General features: G+C 44.2%; 1 protein-coding gene across 12 annotated transcripts in view, besides 2 other annotated features; it reads left to right on the top strand.

Annotated features, from left to right (window-relative positions):
- The window catches only part of HPSE2 (heparanase 2 (inactive)), an 858,875-nt gene that overhangs the window by 836,819 nt on the left and 8,431 nt on the right, over positions 1-13,625 (top strand). The window lies entirely within an intron of this gene.
- Positions 11,087-11,186: a silencer, noted in NCBI's record as "silent region_2690". NCBI's record gives its function as "represses an Ori minimal core promoter by ATAC-STARR-seq in GM12878 lymphoblastoid cells {active_cell/tissue: GM12878}" and the evidence as "EXISTENCE:reporter gene assay evidence [ECO:0000049][PMID:35858748]".
- Positions 11,237-11,286: a silencer, noted in NCBI's record as "silent region_2689". NCBI's record gives its function as "represses an Ori minimal core promoter by ATAC-STARR-seq in GM12878 lymphoblastoid cells {active_cell/tissue: GM12878}" and the evidence as "EXISTENCE:reporter gene assay evidence [ECO:0000049][PMID:35858748]".

Below are 13,625 nucleotides of genomic sequence, written 5' to 3'. Positions count from 1 at the left end.
TGGGGTAATTCTCATTCTCTTAGAATTGCCACTGGGCCTGGGAAGATTTGAAATCTCTGAAAGGGCAACTCTGTGTGAACTCAGAGCTAAGGTATGTCAAGTATCACACAGGAAGCACCCTTGGGGTCACTATTTATGTATGGTCTAGGCAACCACATTCACAAGAAGGTTCTTGTTTCCCATCTCAGTGAATGAACCAATCGTAAGACCCCCCTACTCCAGTCCCAACTCCTTATATAAGAGACTGTTCTTATTCTAGGAACCAGACAAAAAGTAGGTGCTCTCTAGCCCATAGGACAGAAGTTTTAGAAAATTGCAGTGTGTACAAACAAGAGTATTCTGCATCTGGAATACATATTCTTCAGGGAATAGCTGAAGGAAATGGGGAAATTTAGTTCAGAGGAGAAAAGTAAGGTAAGTCATGAGGACTTTCTTCAGAGGACTGCCAAGTGAAATTAAACAGATTTGGCCTAGAATACTCCAAAATGACAGAAAACCAAGGAGTGCAATTTAAAAGAGATAGATTTCACTTCAAAATGAGCTCGTTTTCCAAAGGCTTGCCTGGTCTGACCGAGGTCAGGATAGGCTTTCTCAGGAGGTAGCCTATTAATCAGAGTGTGAGCAGCCATCTCAGAGGTGCTCTAGGATTCCTTCCTCAGTCGGGGGTTGGACAAGAGATTATAGCTTCCCTTTGAGCTCTGAAATTCTATTCTCTTCTGGTCCCCATTCCCCCTGTTTCCTCTTCACTTTTGGAGCCTGTGTTCTCAGTGGTCATCAGCAAAGTCAAGCCACTAAGAGGCCACACAAAGAGGCTCTATGACTAGAGGAAGTGGTGGCAGTAGCTGGCTAGTTTTGTTTTCCAGAAAAAATCCAGCTGTGGGTCCCTCCCTTGTCATGTTCCCTGGTTTCTCACCTTTCTCAGAAGAAGATGGCCCCATTCACATCCAGAACAATGGTTCCCATTCTGGATAAGTCAGAGGAGATTTTGGGGGCATCTGCAAAATACAGAATCTACCCATTGCCTTGTGTGATCACAAAGCAATAGCCACTGTCCTCTAGGGCAGTGGTCCCCAACTGTTTTAGCACCAGGGACTGGTTTCATGGAAGACAGTTTTTCCACAGACTGTTGGGGGCTTGGGGGTGGTTTGGGAATGAAACTGTTCCACCTCAGATCATTAGGCATTAGATTCTCATAAGGAGTGTGCAACCTAGATCCCTTGCATGTGCAGTTCACAATAGGGTTCACACTTCTATGAGAATCTGATGATGCTGCTGGTCTGACAGGAGGTGGAGCTCAGGTGGTAATGCTCACCCACCACTCACCTTTTACTGTGCAGCCCAGTTCCTAACAGGATTGGTCCATGGCCCAGGGGTTAGGGAGCCCTGCTCTAGGGAATCATTTGTACCTGATAAATATCTCCAGTGTCTCTCAACAAACAGAAGCAACATGAAGTTCGGCCTCACAAGCCAACTGACATCTAAAATCGAAAGGACTTACCTTTCCAGAGAAAAAGCAAACCAAAAACAGGTGTTAGATCAGATCCCAGTGTTCTCCCTTATGTGCCTTGTTCAATTCCATTTGGAGGGAAAATACTCCAAAAATTAGGAAAGAGGGAAGCAACTTTCATCACATTGGCTGTTCTGTTCTGACACATTGACCTGAGGGAACAAGCGGATGCTAAGAATCCTGAGGTGGAGTGACACTGGGAGGTGATCTGGCTCTCTCCCCCAGCCTTCAGTCTGTGGCCAAGCCATCTGGACCAGAGGATGCCCCACATTTAAAGCCCTCTCAGAAAAGAGTGACCACAATTTCAATCCTGTCTGAACACTTAATTGTATAAGAACACTGGGGCCCACTGTACCTATGGCTGCAACTTTATAGATAATGAAAAACTTTAATAGCCATTATCTCATTTAACCTTCTGACAGAACCATGAAGCATATAGAATAATTCCTGCCTCCCTTCCATTTTAGAGTTGAAGACACTGAGTCTTAAAGTATTAAGTGACTTATTCAAGTGTCACACAACTAGTAAGTGACAAAGCTAGAAGTCCCTAGGATCCAGTTCCCCTGACCCTTACTCTAGTGCACTTTTTTCAACAATGTGCTACAACAACAGTCCAGTACTATAAAATTACAATTACATAAGATGGATATACATATGGATAACTGGACTCTGTCATGATATTGTCTGGGTTCATTTCATCATAGGCTCCTTACAGAATGAATATATTTGAAGAGTATTAGGTTACCCAGAAGTTTTCTCCTTCAGGCTAATTCACACCAGTTTCATTAACTTTTCTTCACAAGTCCAGAATTCAGACCGTCCCGCCCCTTTTTTTTTAGACAGACTCCCACCCTGTCACCCAGGCTGGAGTGCAGTGGTGTGATCTCAGCTCACTGCAACCTCTGCCCCCCAGGTTCAAGCTATTCTCCCATCTCAACCTCCCGAGCAGTTGGGACTACAGGCATGCACCACCACGCCCAGCTAGTTTTAGTATTTTTAGTAAAGATGAGGTTCCACCATGTTGGCCAGGCTGGTCTCAAACTCCTGACCTCAGGTGATCCACCTGCCGCAGCCTCCCAAAGTGCTGGATTACAAGCATGAGCCACCATGCCTGGCCTCAGACCCTTTTTTTTTTCTTTTTCTTTTTTATTATTATTATACTTTAAGTTTTAGGGTACATGTGCACAATGTGCAGGTTAGTTACATATGTATATATGTGCCATGCTGGTGTGCTGCACCCATTAACTCGTCATTTAGCATTAGGTATATCTCCTAATGCTATCCCTCCCCTCCCCCCACCCCACAACAGTCCCCAGAGTGTGATGTTCCCCTTCCTGTGTCCATGTGTTCTCATTGTTCAATTCCCATCTATGAGTGAGAACATGCAGTGTTTGGTTTTTTGTCCTTGTGTTAGTTTACTGAGAATGATGATTTCCAATTTCATCCATGTCCCTACAAAGGACATGAACTCATCATTTTTTATGGCTGCATAGTATTCCATGGTGTATATGTGCCACATTTTCTTAATCCAGTCTATCATTGTTGGACACTTGGGTTGGTTCCAAGTCTTTGCTATTGTGAATAGTGCCGCAATAAACATACGTGTGCATGTGTCTTTATAGCAGCATGATTTATAGTCCTTTGGATATATACCCAGTAATGGGATGGCTGGGTCAAATGGTATTTCTAGTTCTAGATCCCTGAGGAATCGCCACACTGACTTCCACAATGGTTGAACTAGTTTACAGTCCCACCAACAGTGTAAAAGTGCTCAGACCCTTTTAAAAGTTCTTCTCTGAGCTACTTCTAAGACTGTCTCCCAATCACAGAATTCTAGTAAAAGCACATTTTTTTTTCCAGAAGAAGTGGGGAATTCCCTTCTGTTTTTATTATGCTCTTCTCAAAGGGATTATTAAAAACCAGCAATGACTCTAGATTTGTTTAATTTGAGGTATATAAAAATCTATATCAATAGGTTATATTCCCGCCCCATATACACAGGCACCTTCAACTCCCTCACACCTAACGGAGCCCATTCTCAGAGGGAAAGATGCCAACAAGGGAGGCTTCCCAAGGAAACTGGAAAGTATATCTCTTCATCCATTCACCAGTTCTATTGATCCTACTTTGTGTCAGACATAACTTCTTCTTCTTCAGTGATCTAATTTGCAATGACTAACTAAAATTTTAAAAGAATTATGGTCCCGGGCTGGGCACGGTGGCTCACGCCTGTAATCCCAGCATTTTGGGAGGCCGAGGCGGGGGGTCACAAGGTCAGGAGATCAAGACCATCCTGGCTAACATGGTGAAACCCCGTCTGTACTAAAAATACAAAAAAAAATTAGCCGGGCATGGTGGCGGGTGCCTGTAGTTCCAGCTACTCGGGAGGATGAGGCAGGAGAATGGCATGAACCCAGGAGGCGGAGGTTGCAGTGAGCTGAGACCGTGCCACTGCACTTCAGCCTGGGCGACAGAGCGAGACTCCGTCTCAAAAAAAAAAAAAAATAGAATTGTGGTCCCATAACTGTAAGGGCTCAAGAGTTCCAAGTAGACAAATTAGGGGGAAATTCTGAATGTAAAGTTCAATGTGAATGTTTCGGATCAGAATGTCCCTTGATCTTTCTATTGCTAGGCCATATCCTCACCTGGCTTTCAAGAGCTATTTAATGTGGGGTGTTTTGGGGTTGTTGGGGAGGGGATTCTGAGATGAATCTCAGAATCTCCTAAAGGAGCTCAGAAGAATCTCCTAAAGGAGCTCATCTCTGTCACTAGAAACAAACAACTAACAGGAAGCAGCCTGTGGGTGGTGCCATAAATAGACATGTAAAGTATTTCTGCTTTGGGGCTAATAGGTTCCATATTAATGTTTAAATTTCAGATCTGCATGAGCCTCTCCTTTAGCTGAAAAAAATCTCAAGGCTCCTATGAACCAAAAATCTTATTGCCTATTCTGTGAAGAAATGCACATCTTTTTTTTTCCTTTTTCCACATACTGCTCATTTTTTCCATCTCTCTGGGATATAACTTTTGCTTTCATTTCACCCTCATTAAAACCTATATCAAAGAAAAACATTGGCATCTAACTGCATGCCTTTAGAGAGGTGTCATTTGATGTTAACCAAACAGAATGGTTCTGAAAATACTCAAGTAACTCCCAGGTGCTAAGACTTTAAAAATATCTTCGTGTCCCTGTTGGAACAGACCAGACCATATTATGATATTTCATCTCTGGATTCAGAGCTTGGCTAATGTGAAAAATCCTGAGGGGTGAACTGGCCACCCACCTGACCCGCCACAATCTCTCACTAATGATACCTGAAAGCACCATGTTTAGTTTCTGGACACAGAGAGATCAGGTAAAAGAAGCTTTGGGAAAAACCTTAACCCCATTAATTCAATACCACGACTCAGACACTCAAAAACAAAATATGAAGACTTGTTTCTGGGACCAGTAGGCCATTTGTCCATTTATCCCAGCAGACTCAAGACATCTAAGTATTTTAGTTCTACACTGCTGATATTATTTGGTACCTACATTTTTTGAACTCTGGTCAACCAGATGTACTCCCTGCAGGTTTCCATTATCTTCACTTGTCTGGGATCATTTAAATTAGTTTCTTTCAAAAATAAACCATTCTATGAAAGTTCTATAGTTAGTAAAAGATGACTTTATAAAGGTAAAATTTCAAAGAACTCATACGGGTCAAGAGGTTTCTTCTATAACATCCCCGACAAAAAGCTTTTCAGTTTCTGTTTGATGGGATGGCTCGTCTCAGGAATTGGCTCATGCTAGGACTAGACAGCTCTGATTGTAGGAAAGAGCCTCCATGTATTAGGCCAAAGGTGTTTTCTTGCCCTTTCTACTCTTGCTTTGGAAAAAGTAAGAAGAGAAAATCTATATCTTCTTCTTTATCAATTTTTCTATATATCTACCCTAAAAGCTCTAGTCTCCAAGCTAAACACTCTCAGATCCTTCAACCATTCCTCAAATGACCTGGTGTTCAGATTGCTCACCTTAGAATCCACTGAGTTTTAGAATTTTATCTCACAGGATTAACCTTTCAATTTTCTCTTCCTCTCTTTCTTTCTTTCTCTCTCTCTCTTTCTCTTTTTCTGCCTTCTTTTTTTTTTTTTTTTTTTTGAGACAGAGTCTCACTCTGTCACCCAGGCTGGAGCGCAGTGGTGCAATCTCGGCTCACTGCAACCTCCACCTCCCTGGTTCAAGGGATTCTCCTGCCTCAGCCTCCTGAGTAGCTGGGACTACAGGTGCGTGTCACCAAAACTGGCTAATTTTTGTATTTTTAGTAGAGACGGGGTTTCACCATGTTGGTCAGGCTGGTCTCAAACTCCTGACCTCAGGTGATCCACCCATCTCGGCCTCCCAGAGTGCTAGGACTATAGACATGAGCCACCGCGCCTGACCACCTTTCAATTTTCTTACCTCATCCAAACTTAGTTGAAGAGGTCTGAGATGGAGGAGGAAATATGAACATTTTGTTATTACAATTCACCTCACTAACACAATATAGTAACATTTTTTACATCTTTGCCAACTCCATAATAAAAAAAGTATTCTTATGTTAATTTCTATTCTTTGAGCATTAATGAGCCTGAAGATTTTTCATATGTTAGTATTGTATTGCTTTTATGAATTTTCTATGTCCTTTGCTATTTTTCTGTTGGGGTATTAGTCTGTTTTATTAAGTTTGCTCTAATACAGGTATAAGGCAATTTCCTCCATTGCTATCTATGTATTGAAATATTTTCTCTAGTATTTTATTTGCTATTTTTCTAACTATTAGAGTATTATCTTGACATACAGAAATATTCCCTTTTATATAGTTAAATATGTTTACCTTTCTTCCATTCTACTTATATGTGTATGAATTTACATTCTTGAAATCAGATCAATATGCATCTTTATTTTCTTCCAGATTCTTTTTTGTTTCACTTGTATTCATTTCTTTGATTCACTCGGAATCTGTTTTGATGCATGGTGAAAGGTAAGGAGCCTCAGTGCCTATAACGTTCAGGCTAAGACCATGTGAGGAAAGCTGTTAACCCCTGCAGGGCTTCAGATGTTAAAATATCAGGAAAAAATAGGATAATTTTTTACAAAGCAAGACTTAGAATCAGACATCTTTGACCTGGAGCAAAAGGCCCCCCTGGTGCAGATCAACCACATCAGCTGCAGCCCTTTTGAAAGGCCATTCAGAGCCCCTCAGCAGGAAAGACAAGCTGCAGAGGCTGAGAGCACCGAATGGCAAGAAAGTGCCTGGGATCAGGGAGATTTACGAGCTGGCTGTGAGTTAACAGGAAAGTGGTACTTACTCTAAACACTAGCATTCAGGTTAGTGCCCCAGTTCAGAAAGGCCGAAATAGACACTGTAAAAAGCGGAAATATAAATATATATGTAAGAGTATATATATATATTTATAAAAATACTTATACTTAAGGTTCTGAGGCAGTATATAGAAAAAAAGAAAGAGAAGTAAATATGTAGAGAAATGAGCCTCACAAATCTTGTTAATGCAAGCTTACTCATTGAAACCCAGAGGAGTTTGGATTCTTTTAGCCCTTCTGCTAATTTAAGAGATAGTAGCTATAACCAATGTTAGCTACATAAATAAGTATATACATACCTGAAAACAACAGTGAGGATACTGAATGACACATTCTTCATTCCCTTAGTTCCTCTTGCCTGAAGAGAATTTGAACCACTCTTTGTCTATAAGGAGCTCTCTGCAACACAGTCTAGAACTTGAGAGAAATCTGAATGATTTTATAGAAACTGACTTTCAAGAAAAGAAAAAAGTTGTTCTTTTCAGTGTTCAAGAAACACAGAGTTGGCTATCAGCGCTGATGCTTCATCTGATTTGTTTCCTAAGTCATCCTGTAAAGTGCTACACATGAACATCCCTGGTACACACCGAGGAGCATAATCATCCCACCAAGGTACAAGCGGGAGGGGGCAAGACATCCAGCGAAGCAGTTCCAGTGAAACAGCAAAAATGCTCCCTTCAGTCTATGGAGCAAAAAACTTGTCTTTGGAAAGTTCATATCTTCCTTTTAGGTTAAAAAAAAATGTAGCCTCCTGACATGGCACTCAAAAAGTAAGAAAATCTCTTTTTATTCGAAATAAATTCAGAATGTAACAGTTAGAAAGATATCTGAGTCCCCTCCACCCCCAGCTACAAACATATCCCCGCCCCTTCTTCTACCCGTGGTGTTCAACCTTGGCTGCACTTCCAACTACCTGGGGAGCTTTAGAAACCCCAATGCCCAAGCCACACCCCAGCCAATTAAACCAAAATCTTTGGGTTGGGACCAAGGCACCAGTATTTGTTAAAGCTCCCCAGGTGATTCAAATATGTGGTCAAGGTTGAGAACCACTGTCCCACTATAAACTTCTAGAACAAGATCCCAGATGATTTGTATCTTCGATTTTTCCCAGATTAGATTCTTCATTCAGGCGCTATGCCATTTTGCCAAAGGTGTGAACATGCCATGAGCCCCTGGGAGTTCTCTGTGACTGAGTGGAAGGATGAGTGCTGGCTTCTCAAAGGTTTTATTGTTTGTTTTGTTTTAACTCCCAGATTACTAATGTGGAGATCACTGTGCCGATTAGAGGATTATGAAATGCTTTTATGTTTTACAGCGACTTGACATTTTAAACCAAGATGTTTAGGAATCTAGGCTTTTCACTGTTATTTTCCGAGAGTTTTTTGTTTGTTCTCAGATCCAGAATATATTTTCCTCCAGTTCACTCCCAGCAGCTGGAAACTCTCTGCGTAGCTGTCCATTAAGGCTGTGGTATCCCCTCTTCACCTCCACTCACTTAGGGACCCTCGTTGTAGGCAGGGATTTCCATTCTGTCCCAGATGACCTAGACGAAACACCTGTAAATGGGCAAGTTAGGGTAGAGCTAACATATTTCTAAACAGTTGATTCTAAAGTGAGAGAGCAGCAGAATATGTGGGCAGTTCTGGCTGACTGAGAAGAAATGGCCCTCGTCTTCTTCTTCCCCTGCACCTTCCAGAGGCTGTGATGAAGAAATGTAAGCCTTAAGGAACTGAAAGTTCTAATCCAGCTTATCCCTATAGTGGGGCCTGGGCCCTGAATTGGTGTTTCTTTGGCTGCTAAGCATCAGGAAGCCCAGGGCAGGATGTGGGCTCATTCCAGACAAGGGGCCTGGAGCATTAAACTGTGGACCCACTGCCAAACACCAGCAATACCCGTGCAGACTAGCCTTCCCTGCTTACCCTTGCAACAATGATTCAGAGTCACCCCACACTTTGCACTTGGATATCTGTGGGATCTGGAACAGAGCCTGTACCACCTGAGACATCTTTTTTCCCTTTTGAGATTATACCAGTACACCTGATGTCATGGGGAATACTTTGTCAAAAGTTAATAAAACAGGTATTTATCACCTTAACATGTGTGTTAAACATAACTAAACATGTTATGTTTAAAACGTGTGTTAACATGTGTGCATACACACACACACACACACACACACCTGCCTTCCTACCTGTCTTCACTCCACCTGTAGACTGCTGTAAAGGGGATGCTTTGTAGCCCCACATTCTCTCCTCCAGCTCCACACAATTAGGACTGGGGAAACCTGGTCCCTCTCCACAGAGGCTACCGTAACTCAGAGACAAAACAGACCACCTAAGGGTAAATATAGGAGATGGGATTATGAGAAAGAGAGAGATGAATTCTGACTTGGGAATCTGAAAAGTCTCAGGGCTGAAGGCCGTGGAGCTGGAGCTGGAAGGATGTGCCATACTTCTAGGAAAGGCTGTAGGAAAGGCAACTTCCAGCAACAGGATGAGATCACTAAGGGTTTGGAAGTACAGAAGTTCAAGGCTCATTTTGTTTGGGAGGTGGCAAATCATCTCATGTGACTGGAATACAGGATGCTTTGTGGGGCAAAGGGAAAGGCCACAAACACATAATAAGCCCAGACTGCAGAAGGCCTTGAAATCCAGGCTAAGTCTGATTTTCCTCCCTTCCTGCTCTTTGTGTAATATCTTTATATGGTGTGTCTGCTCAGACATTTGCATATTTCAGTGTTTTCTTAGAAGACAAGGAGTAAGTCTATTGTAATTTAATTGGTACAATGAAAAGAACGATGGAACTATGAATAATGCCCCTTAAACACTACTTGTAAATGTTGATGATGATGGCACCAATTCTTTACAGTGGTAGGGGGACATAGTTAACCACATGCTGAAGTCTCCATGGTTTTTATAGCTGGTTCCTATTGTGTCCTGTGGTTTGAGTGTGATATGCCTATGACATGGAGCTTTGAGATGGCTGCAGGATCAGATTTTCTTTCCAAACTTCCCCCAGATGATTCCCTCATCTGCTGGGAGTTAACAATATCAGTATAAATCCAGGTTCCTTAGTCAGGCTCTCATCTTGTCTGCCAAGTGTGCTAAATTATTTTAAGCCATTAGAAGCACATGGTAGAGTCCATTATGGATTGGATCACTATTACACAGACTTGGATAGAATACAGATCAAATCCTGACCCCCAAACCACACTACATCCAGGAAAAGCCTATATCCCTAACAACTTGCCTACAAAACCCCCAGCTCTCCTTGTATAAAGGGTCCTGGTATTTTCTCTGGTCAGTGATACAGAAGCTAGATCAAAACTGCTCACCATTTCAGCGTGTCCCTCAGAGGGTAGGATGGAGGGCAAATAAACTTCTCAGCCTCAAAATGTCTTAGGGACAAGGAACTCCAAATAGGGTATGGGCTGTTGGAAGGGCAAGGGAACAGGATACTATTTTCCCCATTTTCTCTCTCTATCCCTTACAGTCCTCTCTGTTAACAACAGTAGAGGAAGAGATTGGAACATACAGCCAGGCATGACTCCTAGAGCAGTTGATTGAGCAGAACTCAACAAGTATTAACTAAACAGCTATCATGGACAAAAAGGCACTGAGCCGCATACTATTGAAAATTGAGAAATGAAAAGTCAGTAGCAGACAAAATGACCCAAGCACACAGATAAAATAAGCCTGAGAGGGACGCTAAAAGGGAGATGCAGATAATGTGCCGCTCTCCCAGCTTGTTATCAGGTGAGGTCCCAAGCAGGAGGCTACCTCTGACAGGGCCTGGAGGGAAGAACAGGCTTTTGAGAGATTCCACCGGATTCCAGGTAGAGCAAAAAGCACATAGAAGAAAAGTTCAGGACACACTTGAAGTAATTGCCCCCGTGACTCCTGAGGAGTGGGAGCACCCCAGAGAGGGTCATGACGGTCTTAGAGCCTTTCCTCCAGCCGGACATGGGGTACCAGGCGACACCACCTGCAGGGGCCACTTCTGAGCAGCCTTCCTCAGCGTGGTAGCCATCACTCAAGGCAATTTCAGACGAACTTCCTGTTCAAGCTGCCCCAGATGCACCGTCTCCCCACCGAGCAGGAAAGGGAAGCAAAGCCCCTCTGTCCTCAAACCTGACTGGGCCTCCTCGGGACTCTAACCTGCCCCTGACCTGGAGAAGGGCAGGGCAGCTGCACATACCAGCTTCCTCGCTCAGCGAGGGGGCCGGGAGCCTGCAAAGCACAAACAGGTGCGGGGCCGACCCGACTGGCGGCCGGGGGCAGCCGGGGACCCGGAGCCCGGGAGAGCCCAGCGCCGAGTCGTGGCGGGCGCCGCAGACCCCGCACCTGCCCTGGGACCCCCCGTTCTCTGCACGCTGGCCGGGAAGCCGGCACCCCTGCAGGAATTGCAGTCCCGTTTCGCACGTTTCCTTAATATTAGGCCACATTCCAGGTGGGACCCTTGCCAACGGGACCGCAACGAAGTTCTGGTTGGGATTTGATTGATTCTGTGATTTGTTCCTCCGGGAGGCCAAGCGCAGGGCACATCTCCCGGCCTTCCTGAGACTGGAGTGCGGGATTTGGAGGCAGGCGGACGCATTCCGGCTTCCTGGGTGCCACCCCGAAGTCAGACTGTCCTGGCACCATTGTGTAGGACAAGAGTGACCTCTAGTGGCCCCTAGGAAAGCACACTGGAGGAAAGGGAGCTGATAACTCAAGCGCAGGCCCATACAAACACACAGTCGGACTTATCTCTCCCCTGCCCCTCCTCCTTTCTCTCCCCCTTCCCTCTCTCCCTCTCTCTCATCATTTAACAATCCAGAAACTGAGACCAGAAGCGGCTGGTCACATACCTAGACCTGCACATTTCATGTCCCAAGCCTGGACTAAAACGGGTTTCTGGCCTTCCTGTCCAGAGTCTTTCCTTCTAGGTAGTAGTTCTTTTGCCCACGTGTTTATATCCAATGTGTCTTTTATTGACGCCTCCTGTGTGAGTGGGCGGACAGAAGAGTGACGGATGAGTAAGACACATGGGCTTCCAATCTAGTGGAGAGACTGACAAGCAGTCAGCTCAGCGGTCACAATACTGTGTGACAGGAGCTGAGATCCAAGAAGTACTGGGTCCTGTGGGAGCACCCCTGACTTGAAGGACAAGTAAGAGTTAGCCAGGAGAAGGAAGCTGGAAGGGAGGAGGAGGGCATATGGAGAAAGGTCCGGGTAGAAGGAAACCGTGTGCAAAACCCCTGTGCTTAGGCCGCGATTAGATAAATGGCCGTAAAGAATGAAAGGAGGTGGGGGTGGAAGGGAGCTGGAAGGGGCGGGAGCTAGAGTGAGCCTCTTGGCGGTTGGAGAAGTAGATAATAGGGCCTGTGCATGGGGACTTCAGACAATGTTCTAAGATCAGCGGGAAGCCACTGAATATTTAGACAGGTCAATATCATGGTCAGATTTCTGTTTATGCAGGATCACTCTGGGCTTGGCATAAAACTTTGCCTTAGGCTAGCTGTTAGTCATAGGCAACCCAACTGAAAAACGGTTAAGCCAGAAGGGATCTTAGGGTTCATCTGATCTATCACCCCTCACCTTACAGATGGAGAAACTAGTCTCAGAGAAGGCAAATGTTCTGAAGGTGGGTGAGGCAGAACTGATTTTCTTTTCTTTTTTTTTTTTTTTTTGAGACGGAGTCTCACTCTGTCACCTATGCTGGAGTGCAGTGGTGCAATCTCGGCTCACTGCAACCTCCACCTCCCGAGTTCAAGCGATTCTCCTGCCTCAGCCTCCTGAGTAGCTGGGATTACAGGCACCTACCACCACGCCCGTTAATTTTTGTATTTTTAGTAGAGCCAGGGTTTCACCATGTTGACCAGGCTGGTCTCGAACTCCTGACTTTGTGATCCGCCTGCCTCGGCCTCCCAAAGTGCTGGGATTACAGGCGTGAGCCACCGCACCTGGCCAGAACCAATTTTCTTTAAGTCCCTTCACCTCCCACTCAAGGCCCCAAAATATGCTATGCCAGCCTGAACTACACACCAGCTCCCAAGGCTGCTCCTGATAAAACACATAATTCCCCACTAAAGATCCCCTCTTGCCAGACTGTAGTCCAGAAAATTATCTTCAAGCTTTAAAAAGGACATGCTCCCTGACTTACTTCCCTGACACCTCAGAACAGTTGAAACCTTGCTTAAATATCCATGGCTATCGAGAACAGTGATAAGACATGAAGACCAGAGACTGTAGACAGGTGGGCGGAGGGTAGCGGGGGAGTGACCAGGCCAAGGGGCTCCCATGGAGACCTGGGGAGCAGAGGGCTTGACTCCAAACTGACACTTTGAATCCCATTTTAAATAACATTCAAAATTAATAAAACAAGTGTAGGGATTGGAAAATAACTCAGACTTTGTAAAAACAGATGGTGATAAAATGCAGTTGTCCTAATATTTGGATAATTTAAATACCCTCAGCAGTTCAGGCAAGCTAGGGAATTAAGAGAAATAGTTCAACCTAGGCTGGATCATTCAGCATTTGATTTAAAAAGTCACGAGCCATTTAGGAGGTCTCAGAATATGATGAAAATATGATAAGGACGGTTTTCAAAGAAAGAAACATAATCCTGGTGAACACCAGCTGGAATTGGAGAAACAACATGAAATAGTAGAAAGAGGTGGTCAGGAAGCCAGAATTTGAGACCTAGCTTAGCCACTTATTAGCCACATGACCTTGCCCAGACCACTTAACCTGTCTAACCTTGTCCCCATAGTAAAGTTACAATAATAGTAAT

Source organism: Homo sapiens, chromosome 10 (genome assembly GCF_000001405.40).
Source record: "Homo sapiens chromosome 10, GRCh38.p14 Primary Assembly".
NCBI lineage: Eukaryota > Metazoa > Chordata > Mammalia > Primates > Hominidae > Homo > Homo sapiens.
The sequence above is the reverse complement of the archived record's forward strand: the minus strand, read 5'-3'. Positions and strand labels throughout refer to the sequence as shown.